The sequence below is a fragment of the Homo sapiens genome, chromosome 10 (assembly GCF_000001405.40).
Source record: "Homo sapiens chromosome 10, GRCh38.p14 Primary Assembly".
NCBI lineage: Eukaryota > Metazoa > Chordata > Mammalia > Primates > Hominidae > Homo > Homo sapiens.
The window spans coordinates 64,288,313-64,307,004 of record NC_000010.11 but is presented as its reverse complement, the minus strand read 5'-3'; the positions used below and the strand labels follow the sequence as shown (position 1 = coordinate 64,307,004).

Genomic DNA, 18,692 nt, shown 5'->3' with positions numbered 1-18,692 from the left:
TGAAAGGAGGGGCAAACGCCTTGTTAGAGATTCATCACAAGGGGGTGATGGATGAAAGCCTTCAGAAACCAATAATAGGATTTTAAAGATTCACATAAGCAGTATTAAGGCAATCTCCAGTGCTTACCTTAGACAAACTAGAGTTAGTGAATGGCAGAGTAGTGTGGTTAAAGCTGTGAGGGGAAACACAACTGGCTATTCCACAGTGGGTCTTGTGAACTGTCTGTGCTTTGGTTGGCTGATAATGGGTCCTGGGTTTAGTTCTCTACATGATGCTTTTATAGATTTAACTGTAGATTGATCATTTCAAAGACATCAAAATAACCATCAGAAGGGCTGATAGTGGTTATGAGCCTCTTAACTCTATAGTGAAACAGACCTGGACTGGAGTCTCACCTATACCACTCATTGGCTGCACAATCTTGGGCAACTGACCTAACTTCTCAAAACCTCTCTCCTTCATAAGAATAACAGGAAAAAAATAAATGTGCCAATTTATACTTTATTTCAAGCATTAAATGAGACCATGAATTTCAAATGATTAGCAGAGTCCTTTAGTGCTCAAGAAAATGAGATGTCATCATCAGAATGATTTTCATTGTTGTCACGATCAGAGGTAATAGTAATCACAGGTACAGAAACACAACAAAGGAGCTGTAGAGTCAAACTGGGGTACCCAGTTGATATAGTTTGGCTGTGTCCCCACCCAAAACTCATCTTGAGTTGTAGTTCCGCTGGTGGGAGGTAATTGAATGATGGGGGCCGGTTTTTCCTGTGCTGTTCTCGTGCTAGTGAATAAGTCTCATGAGATCTGATGGTTTTATTAAGACCAGTTCCCCTGCACATGCTGTCTTGCCTGCCACCACGTAAGACATGACTTTGCTCCTCCTTCACTTTCTGCCATGATTGTGAGTCCTCCCCAGCCATGTGGAACCGTAAGTCCATTGAATCTCTTTCCTTTATAAATTACCCAACATCAGATATTTCTTATCAGCAGTGTAAGAAAGGATTAATAGACCAGTGCACCATTCCCACCAAAGTATTCTGTGTTATAACCAGAATATCTATGATTGGTTTTTCTCTTCCATAGATAAAAGAGTAGAATAACCATCTACCTCTTCTTTATTAAGAGGCTTATCAGGCACAAAAAGTGTTTGTCATTACATCATCATTTCATGTAGAACATGTTACAATTAATTAGATCATGCTTATCTTACTTTTGGAATTCACTGCTGTTTTAGATGAACTTGAGTAGGTAACCTGGACTCAGCTACATTAACTGTATATTCTTTCAAGGTGTAACTTTCTGGGGAGATTTCCACAGATGGCTAATAGATATGTGAATTCTTGCTACTCTGAACTTCAGCAGGTAACGTGCTTTAATTTTGTTCACAGATTCTTAGATTAAATATGGTTTTTGAATTCTGATGTTCTCCATGTATTTACTGAATAATCTATTGCTTTCTTAAAAAAAAGAAGAAAGAAAGAGAAAGAGGGAAAGAAATAAAGAGAGAGAAAGAAAGAAAGAAAGAAAGAAAGAAAGAAAGAAAGAAAGAAAGAAAGAAAGAAAGAAAGAGAAAGAAAGAAAGAGAAAGAAAGAAAACTAATTAGGCCATGAAGGCTCCTCCATCATTAAGGGGGTTAAGGCTCTTATGAAAGAGGCTTCATGCAGCATCCAGCTAGCTTGCTTGCTTGTTCCCTGCCCTCCTGCTGTGTGAGGAAACAAGAGATCAGCACTCACCAGACAACCAAATCTGCAAGCACTTTGATCTTCGACTTCTCAGTTTCCAGAACTGTGAGAAAATAAATTTCTGTTCTTTTTGAATTACGCAGTCTCAGGTATTTTGTTGTAGCAGCACAAACAGACTAAGACATTATCTTTGATGACAAAGACTCAGATAATTCAGCAATCTATTCTAAGCTCATAATAACAGTTTGCAAATGACCAGTTAGAAAACTGTGCCCATGTGTTTGCAGTGGAATTTGACATGTCTGAGGCTGTGAAATTATGGCTAAAGGAATTATGGTATAAAAATCTTGGCTTAATTATAGCCATAGAAAACATAACAATGGTGACAAGAATTTCTTAGTAAAGGTAGGAAAAAATGTGTTTTCTTTTAAGAAAGGAGGGAATTTGAAGATGACCTCCTTGCTAGCATGTCACACTGAATAACAAAAACAGAGTGCATCATCTGTATTTTTAAAATTTATTCAGCATTTATTAAACTAAAAATAAAAGAACACTATTACAGACTCAGGCGGTGTGATAGCAGTGAATAACATAAATTCAATCCCTGAAGTCATGAAACATTCTGAACAGTGGGAGGAGAATCAATTCATAAAGAAAAATTAATAATAAATATGAGTTCATGCTATAAAAAAAAGCAAGAAAATATGGCTAGAATTACATATAGAGTAGACGTGTAGTTTGGGAGGATTATATTCTGGTCATTATTGATTTTCTTTTACCATATCCAACATTCCTTGCCCCTTGCTGCAGAACAGAACTCCCATTTGTCTTTGGGAAAACAAGTTCATTTCTACCCTCAGTCTATGAGTTTCAGATAATGTTTACTGCACCCCCAACACACACAGAGACAATTACAAGTTCTCATCTCCACCTCTGGGGTGGATATGTAATCTCGCATATCTAATCAGAGCAATACAAACCTTGGCCCAAGTGATTAGATTGATTGGATAAATAAGTGGCACATGATCCAAGCTGAGCCAATGAGAACCTTCTTTGAGACTTTTTTGGAACTATTGGGAAAGATACACTCTCTCCTTCTGAGATCTCTGCTGTTAGGACCATGTAAGTAGAAGCTACTAGGGGTCACCTTTGTAAATAACAGAGAAAACCTACCTGAAAATGACGCAAAAGTAGAAGTATAATTGAGAGATGAAAGACACTGAGCTTACTCTGTTTCCTGAAAACATGCATCTAGCCAAGACTAAGCTATCTGAAAACTTGAAAATATGACTTTTGTGTTATGTGAGCTAGCTAATTTCCAATGCTATGCAAGTTAATTTAAGACTTACCTTTTTTGTCCCATATACATGAAAAAGTTTTTATTAATTTGGCAATTAACAGTGGCTGGGCATTTACTGCATTCTAGGCCCAGCGATAGCTAACACTGTGTGCTGTTACAAGAGTTATCACATTTAATCCTTATCCTTTTTTAAAAAAAAATTTTGGAGATAACAAGTGTGAAGTTTAGAGATCTCACATAGCTTGGCCAGGCTCACAGCTTGCAAATGGGAAAGCTGCAATTAAACTCTGAAGACTATGCTCTTCAACAAAACACAACACTGCTTCTCTGTTCAGGCAGCTAACAGCACTTGCTGCCTTATACCTCAGCAAACTCTGCCTAAGCCCCTAAAGCCCCAGGCTACTGGCCTGGAAATGGTTCAAACAATAATATAGCCAAGAGAAGTCTAGAACCCTTGAACGCTAGGTCTTCTCTGCCAATTTCTGCCTAGAATAAAATCAAAAGGACAATATATCCAATGCCCTAGATAACCACAGCTACTAAGACCCATTTACATAGGATGCATTCTTTATATTTAGCACTCCCTAAAGCATATCTTAAATTCTACAGGCAGCCCAGGATCTTGTTTATGCAGAAGGGATAGGAGAAAATAGAAAAAATCTTCAAAAATATTTTCTCTATATACTTCTAGGAGACCATGTAATATACTTTAGAATAAATGTGTGTGTCTGTATATACATACATACTTATATACTGTATATATACAATTACATATACATGAATAAACATAACTTCACTATATACACATATACATTATGCATATTTATATAGACATATGTAATGTACATGTATATATTTGTATATTTGAACATTTATGCATATAAAATACATTTTCTAGAATGAGCTAACAATTAACAAAATAAGACTATCCTAGTTTAAATGGAAAATGGCTAAATTGGAGTTGAAAGAGCTCGAGAGAGTGGTTTAACTTATCTTTAATAAGTCATAATTTGAGATTTAAGAAAAGTTATTCTTTTAGGCCTAGAAATAATAACTATTTCTGAACATTTGCCTTCTATCTCTAAAAATTACTAGAGCTCATTGTGGATAATGGGTATTTATTAAATAATAACTTATTCAAATCATTTGAGACTACATAATAAATAGAAACCTGATTGACTTGTCAACTGAGGTCTGGAAGAATTTATAAAGTAATTGCACATATAACTGAAATAAAAGCAATCAGACTGTGCTTTTACCAGTTTCCATAGCAAATTCACTTTCTCGTAGTAGAGAAGTTGGGAATGGAAAGGGCACAATGACGACTAGCACCACATTCTGCCAACAGCCCCTCCAAGCTGCCTTCATTCATTAACCTAGCCTAATCTTTCAAACAAGGTAGATCTACACCATTGGACTAAATCTCAGTCAATTCTGGAAATCTAAACAATGTTGAGCAGTGGAACGAAAGGTGAAATTCTCATGGAATATGAGACAGTTAAAATAATAATATCAAACCTCTTATTTTTATTTTCTAGAAAGAAAATCATCCATAGTTAACTTTGATTTACAATGACTGTTTTCTTCCCATGCTTACCAGCATCTTAAGTTTTTCTAATAATACGGTTGCATAAAGTTACTTCGTCTATCTAGGCTGAATAATTCTAATCTGTTGCTAGATACACATATTTCAGGTTAGTCCACAGTTCATTGTTTGAGAAAGATTACTAATATAGATCAGTAACTTAGAATCACCCTGTAGTTTTAAAAAATAAAGATACCTGGAGTCCACCTGAGATCCACTGAACCACAATGCCTGGGCATGAGGCCCAGACATGTGCATTTCTCTAAAATTCCAACAATAATTGTCATGAAAATCCACCACTGAGAACAACTGAATTCCACTGAGAACAACTGAATTCAACAATTTCTAAAGTTGTTTCCAACAATAATTCTGTAATTTCTTTGACTTAGGCCTTTAAAAACTAACCATTTTTTAATGAACTCATAAATCCTTCTAGAACAATTAATTTTGATGAACTCTATAAATATGTCTCAAAAGCAGTTGCAAAAGTAGCAGTGTTTATGTTCAGGAATGCCTTCAAGTCAAGTAAAAGTCATTAGTTGCATAAATAAATAGAACTCTTTTTCCCTTCATACAATAAAAAGTCTGGAGATACACAGTTATTGACTTGACTCAGAAGCTCAGTGAGGTTAAGGTGATCTCTCTAGTCACAAAATGACTTTTGCAGTCCCAACTACCCTGACTCCATTCAAGGCAAAAAGAAGGGTGAAGAACAAGAAAGGATGGGTAGCTACAACCATCTCCTTTAACCAGGAAAGCAAAAACCTTAATAAATACCTTTTGACTAGACTTCCAAGTAGGTATTCTCGACAAAACAGGGTCTTAAGGCTGCCTCTAGTTGTAAGATATCCTGAGAACTGGTTTGTACCAGCCATAATCTATTGCCAGGGCCAAATACGTTGTCATCATGCCAACTGAAAAAAAAAATAAAAAAGATTCTGATTGATAAGTAAGAAGTTGGATATTGAATAAGAAACATTGCAAATAATTAAGTCAACTTTAATGAAAAAAGAGATAAAGTTCAATTATACTTTGTAATAGAAAATCATAATACACCATAATATAAAAAGTCCATATATTTATGCAATTTCCAAAGAATAATTTCAAAAAATTTTTGATAAATAAACTCATGGGTCTAACAAATGCATATTCTCTCTAAGATAATTATTTTGAAAAGTAACATTTATTTGGATGCATAAGTTCTTATGTTACATCATCTATTCCACCGATTTAATCAAAGACCATTATTGTCTTACACTGCTAATCCAAGATGTTTATCTAATAAGAAATAAATCAGGAGCAAATATAATTGTTTTATTTAAAGTCACTGAAAGAATTTTAAAATCCATCAAACCTTTGTTCAGTTTGACAACAGGTATAAAAGCCTTAAGATGTGGCACACATTATTGGCCTTGGCCATTCATTTTAGAGAATTTTATATATAGAATATAATACAAAACTATCTACAAATGTTTGTTATTTTAACAGCATAAAACTTTTAACTTATTGAATTGTCCAATAACAATGGATTGTTATATGAAATATACATTCACGTGCTGGTATACCATTTAGTCATTAAAAATAATTAACAATCAAGAAGACTACTAATCACCTGGAGAAATGTTCAGGACATATTAAATGAGAAAAAAATGTACCAAATTATATGCAGTATGATCCAAATTATTTATGTAATAATTTATTTATGGAACACATGCTAGATGTTAGTATTCGAATGTATTTATTCATTACTAGTTATTTGAATGTATTTGTTTCATTAGATTCTCACAACTGTATGAGATAGGTTATATTATTCTCCCCATCCTACAGGTGAAGAAAGTGAGGTTTAGAACGGTATGGTAGTTACTCAAAAACACATAACTAACAAGTAGCAGAGCTAGAATGTGAACTCAGGAGGCCTAGTTTTAGAAGCTGAGCGTATATGTCTACAACGATATATACCTACAGAACAATTTTGGGAAAATGCACCAAAAGGATAACATAAGTTATGTCTGAGTGGTGAAATCACCATGTTTCCTATATTTTTAGAAATTTTCAGATAAATATATATTAATAATAATCAGAAAGTATGATGATTATTTGATAGGCTTTCAAATCCAGTAATCACTTAATAAGCTTTTAAACCTGATTTGGTAGGCAATCAAATCAGCCAGGGCTCTACTCAACAACTCCTAATAATATGAACTCTACAAAGTGTTATTCATCTGTACTGAAAAATGAGACTTTTCTAAATTCGCAATTCATGAAATAACAGCTTATGCAAGGTATCTCCTATACAGTTTTCTTTAAGTTCAATAGTCTTGTTACAGACATCATAAACTGGATTCATAGAAAGGAAATAAAAGTCATGAAAATTCATCCATTGTTTCATAAAATCAAGAAGAAAGAAAAAAGGAAATCCTTAAAATATATTTAGAAACTACATAAATTGCATTCAATGAACAAGCATGAGCCAGTAAAAGAACCTGGAGAACCTATACATAATGATGTATAAAAATATCTCCAAGACATTTTCAAGTAAAAAACCAAGAGTAAGAACAACACAAAAAGAAAATATTTGTGCTCATTAATATGCATGGTATGTATATTCAGCATTGTACGAACCTCCAAATATATAAATACATGCATATAAATGAATAAAAAGTGGTCTGAAAATACCTTTATCAAAACCGTATAGCCCAAGGTTATTAGCATATTCTGGCTGAGGAGTAAACTTGTGTGGAGAAGTATAATGGGGGAGCTTTGAGTTTTTACTTTACATAAACCTGTTTTATTTATTTATTTATTTATTTATTTATTTCCAGACAGGGTCTCACGCTGTTGCCCAGGCTGGAGTGCAGTGGTACATTCATGGCTCACTGAAGCCTTGACCTCCCAAGCTCAAGCAATCCTCCCACCTCACCCTCCCGAGTAGATGGGACTGGAGGCGTGCCTCCATGCCTGGCTAAATTTTGTACATTTTGTAGAGATGGGGTTACACCACGTTGCCCAGGCTCATCTCAACCTCCTGGGCTCAAATGATCAGCTTGCCTTGGCCTCCCAAAGTGCTGGAATTACAGACATGAGCCACCCGACTCTTAATCCAAGATTTTAAAATAATGTATCAAATATACTCATGTTATACAATTTTTGAAGGAATGTAAATAATTGCATATGGATTCTCATAATTGCCATTATTCACAGTCACCATACTTACTATAGTCCATTTGGATTGTTGATGTTGTTTTACATATGTTAATAATAACTCTTTTATATACTACAGCATGTGTTTGATCAGTACAATTGTAGAAAAAAAAGGAAAATTAGTTTGCCTCCATAAGCTTAATGGGAGCAAAGCTAAATGGATTTTTACTTTTGGTTTTGAAAAGAAAAAAATGATTGTTCCATCTGCAAATAGTGTTGACTATTTGATTCTATCACAAAATGAATATATGCATAAAAAAAGAAAGTGGGCAAAAACAGTAGACATAGTTTATAATGCAAAATTTGTTTTCTTCTCTGTGCAACAAGACAATTGAAGCATTCTGCATGTATAGTTAGAAATATATTGTAGCCCACGTATTGAGTCCATTTGACCCAGAACAACGATATTATTACATTACACTTTTCCTTTCTTCCTTTAAAGGTATTTCTTCCCAAATGAAAATTGAAGGGAAAACCCTTTTTTTCCTTCAAGCCCTGAATAAATAATCAGCTATCACATTCAGATACACAACAAACAAAAACACCTAGCAAATCAGTTTAACCAGCAATATCGCAATATTCTCAATAGAATCACTGTTTAATTTAATGAAAGATGTTATTGGAGAAGAAACTTATCTAGTAAGGTATCAGTATAGACCAACATCCTTTGAAGTATTAATTTCCTTAAAATATATTTCTAGTAATATTTAACAATATTTACTTACTGAACAGCAATTAACACATATTAACTACTTGTGCTTTTTAGAATTTAATGAAGCTAAAGGGATTATTTTAGCCAAGTAATTTGGTTTTGCCGAAAATGATGCTGGTACACTGTTAAATTCAAGCCGTCTATTTAAATAAGTTAGATTTTTTTTCCTGAATGTTTATTTCCAGTGATGTTCTATTTGTTAATATATAATCTTTCAAATCTGGCATCTTTCTTATGATCTGAGCTTTGGCAGTGATTAATTCTATATTTTTAAGCCAAGTGCTTTCTGGGCCTCAGATTTCATATCTGTTAAACGGCCTTCATAGTTTCTTCTTTCACTGAAATTCTATGAAAAGTTTTGTAATTATTTGGGCAGTTTAGAAAATAAGCACAGAGAATAAAGTAATTATGTTCAGTTAACCCTAAAATTCTTCTTTTTTTTTTTTTCCGAGACGGAGTCTTGCTCTGTCACCCAGGCTAGAGTGCAGTGGCATGATCTCGGCTCACTGCAACCTCCACCTCCCGGGTTCAAGCAATTCTCCTGCCTCAGCCTCCCAAGGAGCTGGCACCTTAAAATTCTTTAATGCACAATAATATATTGTAACATCTTTTTTCCCTTGATTAATCATTATTACAGACTCAGGTTTCATGTATCTGTATAACATGAAACAATAGTACTTTGAGCCTTTCAAAAATAGAAAAGGATCATATAGAAAAAGAAAGAAATATACTTTAAGGAAATTAATACTTAAAAGGATGTTGGTCTACATTAATTACCTAACTAGACAAGTTCCTTCTCCAATAAAATCTTTCAATAAATTAAACAATTCTATTGAGAATATTGTGATATTGCTAGTTAAACTAATTTGCTAGGTGTTTTTGTTTTTTGTAAATGTAAGTGCAATAGCTGCTTATTTTATTTGAGGCTTGAGAAAAAAAGGAAATATGAGTCGATTTCAGATTTAGTAAATAGTTTCCATTATATTTTCAATTCATAGTTTAAGCAAATCTTGCCTACAATATTTAAAATGGAAATGCTTATCTTCATGGAGATATGATAATATATAATAGAACAATTCCAGGCTGAGGGTGATACTGAAATAAGAAGAATCTAAAAGTACAATGGTACAGTGCCTGGTTCAGTATTTTTGCTCAGCAAATACTTAAATTTATTTCAAATATTTCCAAATTTGATAATTATCTTAAGTTCCAGATGTAAAATGAATTAATTACTTTGAAAGGGAATAGTGATACTACCACAGCCATCACAGAATGTGGAATTAACTGTTCTCCATTATGCAATTCTCGATAGTATTTGCTATCACTTTAATGTATCTTACTAACCTATTAAATAATTCATTCAGAACATATTTATTGAGGAATTATCATTTTACCCACACTATTCTAAGCATTGGGGATACTGGAGCATATGAGGCAGAACAAAACCCTTACCTTCATGGAGCTTCCATTGCAGAGGAGGAAACAGATATAAACAAGATAAAAAGTAAATTATATAGTACATTACATAGTAATAGGTACTAAAAAGAAAATACATGGCTGGGCGCAGTGGCTCACGCCTGTAATCCCAGCACTTTGGGAGGCCAAGGTGGGTGGATCACGAGGTCAGGAGGTTAAGACCATTCTGGCCAAGGTGGTGAAACCCCATCTCTACGAAAAATACAAAACTTAGCTGGGCATGGTGGCACGCGCCTGTAATCCCAGCTACTTGGGGGGCTGAGGCAGAGAATTGCTTGAACCCGGGAGGTGGAAGTTGCAGTGAGCCGAGATCGCGCCACTGCACTCCAACCTGGGAAAGAGAGTGAGAATCCGTCTCAAAAAAAAAAAAAAAAGAAGAAGAAGAAAATATGTCTATTTTCAACCATTTCCTTGAACCATAGACAGCATTTCTTAGTCATGGGTTTTGTTTGGCTTGGAAAGCAAACCTATTCCAAACCTTTTCATTTCTAGAGGAATCTGAGTTGTCATTTTTTGACCTTTTTCAGTTCATATATACTCCTATTATAGTATAATCAGAGGCTTACAGTATCCAGATTCACCAATGTTTGGTAGGAGAATAACAGGATGCTTTTAAATCCCTCTTTCATGTAAATCTCCTATGCACTCATCTCCCACAATTATACTGGTACATTTCCATAGTCTCAAGAAGTCCTCAGTATATGTTCAGGAATGTAAAGATATGGTCGGCCTTGGGTGTCCTACTGAGCTTGCCAATAAAATTCTGGCTGAAGAAGTCAAATTATACAATGGACTATTCCCATCAATTAAACTTTATGCTTTCCCCATTAACTAGGCCACCTACTGGGGCACAGGGACACATGCAGACATCCATAATTGTTTAGTTCCAATAAACAGAAACTTCCACTACTATAAAGGATGAGTGTGATTACCCAAATTTGTTTTTTGTGCAGGTCCTATAAAGACAAACCTCAGGGCAAAAGAAAAGCTGAATAGTTTGTGCTTAAAAATCAGCAATCAGCAAGCCTCAAGTGCCGGTAGATGTAATACATTATTGACTAACTCTTGATTACACTGAGAAAGAGTGGGACTATTGGCAACCCATGCTTTCATTTATCTTACGAGTGAAACACACATTTTTCTCTGTCCCCTAGGGACCAAAAAGAATGCTGGACACTGAGTCAATCAGACACTTGCTTTTTCTTCAAGGAGTTGACAGACGGATACCGACACCTAAACAGAGAGTATCCCAATGTCCTATCCTAGGTAAGATGATAAGAAATGAATAGGGATGTATAGGACCTAGAGAAGGTGTACCTAAATTAATTTTGAAAGAGGTTGAGTAGGGAGAGGGGATAGCACTCAGAAAAGAAGTTCTGGAAATAACTTATGCCTGAGCTGGGTTATCTAGATGAAGGAAGGAAGAAATTCAAGGACATAAAAATGAAACCCTGTGATGTGTACCAGAACTATAAGCAGTTCAGTGTTGAACAGGAATAAATTTGATGTGAAGAACAGTGAAAAATAAGCCTGAGAAGATGCAGGGGCCAAATTCTGGAAGCTTGGACTTCACTCCATAGGCAACACCTGAGGCATCGACTTGTGTTCAGAAAGAGGGTGGTACTCATTCAGATTAGTGGAAGGTGGCAAGCATGGAATTGGAGGTTATTAGTTTAATCCAGGAAGGACATAATAAAAGCCTAACTAGGTAGTAGATGCTGGGATTAAGCAGGAACATTGCCAGGACTTGGCAACTGACTGATATGAGAGTGAAAAAAAGAAAAGTCAAATATAACTGCCAGACTTTTACCTTGTATATAATGGGTAAAGAACTTCTGGGGCGTCCCAGGTTAAGGGGTTTGTTTTCAGAGACTATTGTATGCCATCTACACTTAGAAGACCTGCAGGGAGCTGTAAACACAGCCTTTTGAGTTTCATGTCTTTCTCTTAAAGGTGATCCAATTTTCATTTTAAAAATTTTTTATTAATTTAATTAAATTTTAATGATTTAGATATAAATGTTCAGGATAAAATGTAAGAAACACAATAGAATATACTGTGTTCCCCTTTGAGATGCTTCTGTAAAGACTTTCATTACAAATAAATTTTTTTCTTGCTCACTGTGTGGAGCAGGGGAAGGATGATACAGATAGTTAATAGAGTTTATAATTCCATTAATAATAATAATATTAATAATAGTCTACAATTGAAAGGAAGAAAGGAGAGAGTATATATCATATATTAATTTACTCTTCTCATGAAAATTCATTATGTATCTGTTACTTTCAATTTACAAATGGGAAAAATACATTTTATAAAGGTTAAATAAATGGTCCCAGATGACACTGAAAGTAACTTGTAGAGTCAGATTTTTTAAATAAATAAAATAAGAACTATCATTGACAAAAGGTCTAATTTACATCTAACCATCATATTTTTATATGTTCCTTAATTCAGTCTCTTGGGGTAGGTAGCAGTGTTTTGATTTTTTTAATTTTTATTTTTTGCCAAACTGTCTTGCAAAGTGACTACTATTTTGCATTCCCACCAGGAATAAATGAGAGTTTCTGTTGCTCCACATTCTTACTGCTTTGATTTTTATTATGCACTATAGCAGAGATTTGCCTATCCTTGAAAGAAGTGTTTCAGAAATCTATAAATATGTCATTGAAATCTTATATTTTTGTTTTTAAACTAATTTTAAAAACCATTACAAAATAGAGTTTGGCAGTTTCTTACAAAACTAAATATACTCTTACCATACAATCCAGCAATCTCATTTTCTTCGTATTTTCCCAAGGAGTTGAAAACATATCCACACAAAATCTGCACACAGATGTTTATAGCAGCTTTAATCCTAGTTGTTAAAACTTGGAAGCAACCACGATGTCCTTTAGAAGATGAATAGATAAATAAACTGGAGTATATCCAGATAATAGAATATTATTCAGCATTAAAAATAAATGAGTTGGCTGGGCATGGTGGTTGTAACTGATTACGCCTGTAATCTGAGCACTTTGGGAGGCCAAGGTGGGCAGATCACCTGAGGTCAGGAGTTCGAGACTAGCCTGGCCAACATGGTGAAAACTTGTCTCTACTAAAAATACAAAAATTAGCCAGGTGTGGTGGCACATGCCTGTAATCCCAGCTACTTGGGAGGCTGAGGCAGGAGAATCACCTGAACCTGGGAGGTGAGGTTGCAGTGAGCTGAGATCACACCACTGCACTCCAGCCTGGCCGACAGAGGGAGACTCTGTCTCAAAAAATAAATTTTTAAAAAAATGAGTTATCAAGCCATGCAAAAACATGAAGGAAACATAAATGCACATTACTGAGTGAAAGAAGGCAATCTGAAAAGCCTAAATAATCTATAATACCAACTATATGACATTCCAGTAAAGCTACACAAACAGTACAAAGATTAGTGATTGACAAGGATTAGAGGCAAGGAAGGAGTGAACAGGCAGAGTGCAGAGGATTTTGAAGGCAGTGAAAATACTCCGTATGAGAGTATAATGGTGAATACATGCCATTATGCATTTATTCAAACCCATAAAATGTACAATACCAGCAGTAAACCCTAATGTAAACTGTGGGCTTTAGGGGATTATGAAGTGTCAATGTAGATTCAACAATTGCAGTAAATGTACAACTCTGGTGGGGACTGTTGATAATGGTGGAGGCTATGCATGTGTGGGATCAAGGGATATATGGGATTTCTGTACCTTCCTCTCAACTTGGCTGTGAACCTAAAACTGTTCTAAAAAGCAAATCTATTTAAAAAAAACTATTGCAACAACATACACACATCAATCCCAAATTATAGTACATTAGAGAAAACCAATATGTTAATGCTTATTGCACAGTTAAAAGGTTTTGTGAGAAACCTCTAAATATAACATCTCTTCTCATACCTACTTGAAAAGTACACTGTGATTGCATGGTGTTTTAAAAAGGTTGTATTCACCTAATCTGTTTGAATGTCAATTTTCTCCATATTGTGAAGCTAACACAGATAAATAAAAATTTAGGTACTGAATTAAATGTTTGTGGTTATCAAAGAAGCTACAATTAGGATATTCAAATGCATTTTATGAAGTAAATTTTAGAAAATGTATTTTACCAAAGCATGATTTTTTTTCCTGTTTTGTAAATTGGGATTTGAGATAAAGTTTTACTTTACAAGAAGAAATCCTGCTTCAAATGAACAGCAATGAGCTGTTAAAACACTGTAATATAAAATATATGTATATATGTATTTTTTATACAGAGTCTCATTCTTTGGCCAGGAGTGCAGTGGCACAATCTCGGCTCACTGCAGCCTCCACCTCCCGAGTTCAAGCAATTCTCCCACCTCAGCCTCCTGAGTAGCTGGGATTGCAGGAATCCACCACCACGCCCAGCTATTTTTTGTATTTTTAGTAGAGATGGGGTTTCACCATGTTTGCCAGGCTGGTCTTGAACTCCTGACCTCAGGTGATCCACACACCTCAGCCTCCCAAAGTGCTGGGATTACAGGTGTGAGCCACCATGCCCAGCCTAAAATATTTTTCTTTAAAAAATGTTTCTATTTGGTTAGTCAACATGGCCCCAATTCCATACAAGATTTATAATCCATTCCTGCATGATTAGGAATGCTTCTGGAGGCAGACTATATTCTGAAAGCTAAGGAGACCTTCTAATGCCTGAAGATGACTTTACTCACTGTTTTATTCTTTTAATAAATTTATTTTTTAAGATGCTAATCTCAATATAAATCATATAAAATATGAAGCTTTTAATTCTAGTTGATTCAATTTTGTGATTCACATTTCCCTATATGCCTACATTTAATAACTTTTCTATTTTCTGTAACACATAACACTTGGGAAGATTTAAGAGTCCAATAGTTGCTGACTATTTGCATGGCAGATTACCAAAGGAAATATTGCTATGTGAAAACAAACTTTTTTCCCTGACATTTGAGGTTCTTAGTTGCTGGACATTTTTTAAATCAAACCAGACACTGACTAGAACACTACAGTCACTCTGCCCTTAATTGTCTCAGATACATATTTGGATATTCAAGAATATAAGCAAACAAAAAACCTAGCTTTCTGCTTTTGGGAGTAAGAATACTCAGCTGAGCTGGCTGGCATACCAAGAAATCTGCTCACCTTATATAGGTGTGTGCCACAGGCAGTAAATGGTGATGGTGGCCTTCCTAGCATATGATTTGAAAACCATCATGATTTTAGAATTGCCTTCAGAACATTTAATGTCATTGATTGAAGTTTTTATGCAATATCTCTTATGATCCCAGCCAAACCCTAATCTTGTCAGAGGCAGGGATCATCCTTTATAGACCCCAAATGACAAGAAGTGTCTTGCATGTGGTGAGTAAGCATTGGACAAGGCTTGTTTATACGATTGATCTAAACCTGCTCACTTAACAAGGAAATCTTCCTAAGCTAGAAGTCTTGGGTGCAGCCTAGAAGTTAGCTAACTTTGGGCAATCTGGCATCGTTTCAAGCTAGTTATAGCTCTAACAAAATGTGAGCTTGCTTCTGTGACTTTCAAAAATCTATCATGGCCTTGCTAGGTAATACCTAAGTCACTTCAAAATCACAGTCTGATTGACAGGCAGTCTTTTCTGAAACTCACATTCTATTCCTCATTCGGTTCTCTTCATGCTGCCCTGGTAAAGTGTCTGTCACTTCCTCTTAAAAAGCAGTGAGAGAGAGGAGTGTGTGGACTTCATGTCAGGAGCAGTTGTCTTCTCTTCAACTCTTAACCCTGCTCACCAGGGTAGACGAAGTAAAGAATTTAATTAGTCTGGGTTGAATCAGACTACGTGAACAAAAAATACAGAAAAGCTTGGAGAAGCCTGGAAATTTTAGAGAGAAAAGGAAAGAACCCTCTTGATGACACCACCAAAACAGTCATCTGGTTTTTGGTCTGAGAACTGTTGTTAGCACCGTAGACTTTCAGGAGTCTGGGAAGCTTCACCTGTGGTACTTTGTTCCCCTTCCTTCAAAAAAGATGCACCATGAGTGGTATGGGCGAACAGAGATCCCCCCTATCTTCCTTGGGCTCCTGAGGAAAGAGACTCTAGGGTCCTGAGATGTGCCTGAAGGAGTTTTAATGGGATATGTTCTCAGGAACTACTATGAGGGAGCAAGGAAATCAAGACCAAACAGAGACAGAAGCCAAACTGGGACACAGTTGCAACTGTGGCCTTTGCCAATCACTCAGGAAGCTCTAAAGCTGGGAAGCCCTTCAGGGGTGTCTGTCATTGAAGTAAAGGGGCCAGATCTTTGTATCGCCCAACAGCAACCAGTCATTGAATGTGGGCTGTCCCTGGGAAGGGAGCACCCATCAGTAGAGGGCAATTCCCAGAAAGGAATGCAGTCTTGAGCTATCAGCGGCCAACACTGCCAATCTCTTAGGAATAAATGCCTAGTTCTTTAAGGGGGATCTGAGTGGCATTACATGATGTCACTATCCCCACTCAGCTGGCTAATCAGTACCATCAGCAGAAATGATCAGGATTAATTGTGACCCTAGGGCTCAGAGTCACTACATTTCACCCTCTGCTGAGCAAAGTGCTGACCATGTGCCAAGCACTCTTCTACATAAATTATCTCATTTGATCTTCTTAACACCATAAGGTCTTACTTGTCTCTCGATGTGCATGTAAAGAAACTGAGGCTTAGAGATACTAAGCAACTTTCCCAAGTTCATACTACCCATTAAGGCACTAATAGAGATTGAAAGTCAGATCTCTCTGAATCACAAGTGTTCTGTACCAATGCGTAGCATTCAAAATTACATTTTGTTGTTGGTGGTGGTGTTGTGTTTTGATTCCTGACCATCCCACAGATATTCAGGTGTGAGAGGTGGGAGCTAAATATATTTACATACAGAAGGAGGAGTGCAAAGTCTAGAGAGTTTAGATTTCTGAAAAGTTACTAAACTATACCAAACCACGTGCCCAAGCATACACCTTTGAGGCCAATGAGGGAGGGAGGGAACTCCTTGCCAGCCAGATGAGCTGAATCAACATCACTATCTGGAACTCTCATGAAATAGTGGACCTAGAAATGATGAATGGGGGCAACAGTGCCGACCATGGCTTCACCTTCAAAAAACAGCATTTATAAGATTCTTTTCCTCAAACTTCCTCCCTGTATCTCCTCTCCCCCAAAGCAAAATCCAAAAGCCTATAAAAAAAACTAGATATGTACTAAAGGTCAGGAACTTGATTTGAATGGTGTTCTAACTGTGTCACACATCAGCTTCAGGTTGCTTTGTTCATGCAACCTACTGTCTTTGCAGTTATTTCCTTTTGTGTCTCCTGACTTCTTCCCAGAATAACTATTACGTCTAGTTCAAGAGCATGTCATAGCAGATATTTCTCATCTCAACTACACAAAGGTACTATGTAATTATGGAATGTACTGAAAGGACCTTGGAGGAAAAGCAAGTTAGCCATCTAATAAGAAAAAATTTAAAACAGAACAATCAAAAGAGACTATTTTCAAAATGTTTTTCTGCAGGTGTACAGGATGATTTTCCTATAACAATCACTATTTCATGGTCCAGCATGATTTCCAGAATATTACATGTACACTGGCAGTCTTAGTACCTGATGATTGAAAACAGCGTGTTCCTGGACATCTCGCTTCAAAACAAAGCAGAAATAATTGGATCTTCCTCTCTTATTTCTCTTCTCCCCCGCCAAGACAGGTGGGCATTGTAAAGAAGACAAATTACTAAACTGGTCAAAATTTTTCATATCTTAGGAAGCACTTGAGCAGTCAAGGAATTATCTCTTATTTTCTATATGAATTAATTTAATTAATGTAGTGAAATATTGATGAGGCTCCCATTTAGAGCCCAAAATATAGTAGGCACTCAATATATATTTGTTAAATTAATAAATGCCCATCACCTACTTCATTAAGCCTTCCCATTTATTCTTGTGGAATTAATCCATTCCTCCTCTGTGCTCTGACAGCATTTTGCACACTTTTTATAACATTCTAACATACTGACTTTGACCATATTTAGTGAAAGCCTGTGTCTCTTTCTCATGCCTTAAGGGCATGAAACGGGCCTCATTCAATCTACGTCCCACAGGTTGTCTTGCACACAGCAGGTCTCAATATCAATGTTTTGCAGATAGATTTGGTGATCTGCTATTTTAGGACCAATCAGAATGACCTGTGAAATTGATTAGTCACAGAAGACAGAAATTGGCAGGTGTGCCAAAACATTGTTGCTGGGGGACAGTGGCAATACCTTATACCTTGACAAGGAAGGTGAATTCAATTCTGTTAAGTGCCCATGGCAATGATGTAGCATATTGCAATGCACTCTGTCTCATTTTGGCATTGCTGCCCTCTCCTGCCATCTGCAAGCAGCACGACACTCTCAGGCTGAAATCCATGGTTGCCATGCTGACAGTGTGCTTGGGTTGAAAGAAAAGAAGGCAATTACCATTCAAGCTAAACCCAGGTCCACAACCAGGAGAGTAGCCAAAGTTCTTAGTCTTGGCCTGTGATGCTGAGACTTTGCTTCTCCAGGTTAATTTGGGAATAGTTGAATGGTCATTTATTTCATGCCTCTCTGAATAATCATTCCCATTTCTTCATCCATGCCTTTGCTCATGAGAAACAGTAAAATGTAGTGGTTAGAAGGTGAGCTCTGGAGCCAGGTGGACTTGATTTGAATACTGGCTCCACTG

The 18,692-nt window shown here is 36.1% G+C and overlaps 1 long non-coding RNA gene across 4 annotated transcripts in view; it reads right to left on the bottom strand.

Moving 5' to 3' along the window:
• Positions 1-18,692, bottom strand: part of LOC124902439 (uncharacterized) — an 820,351-nt gene that overhangs the window by 385,935 nt on the left and 415,724 nt on the right. For 3 of the 4 annotated variants that reach the window (XR_007062161.1, XR_007062160.1, XR_007062166.1), the window contains one exon: positions 5,353-5,489. This is a non-coding gene — a long non-coding RNA (uncharacterized LOC124902439). Of the gene's footprint in view, positions 1-5,352; positions 5,490-12,723; positions 12,856-18,692 lie in introns of those variants that run through there. The other variant, XR_007062165.1, reaches the window with a different exon arrangement.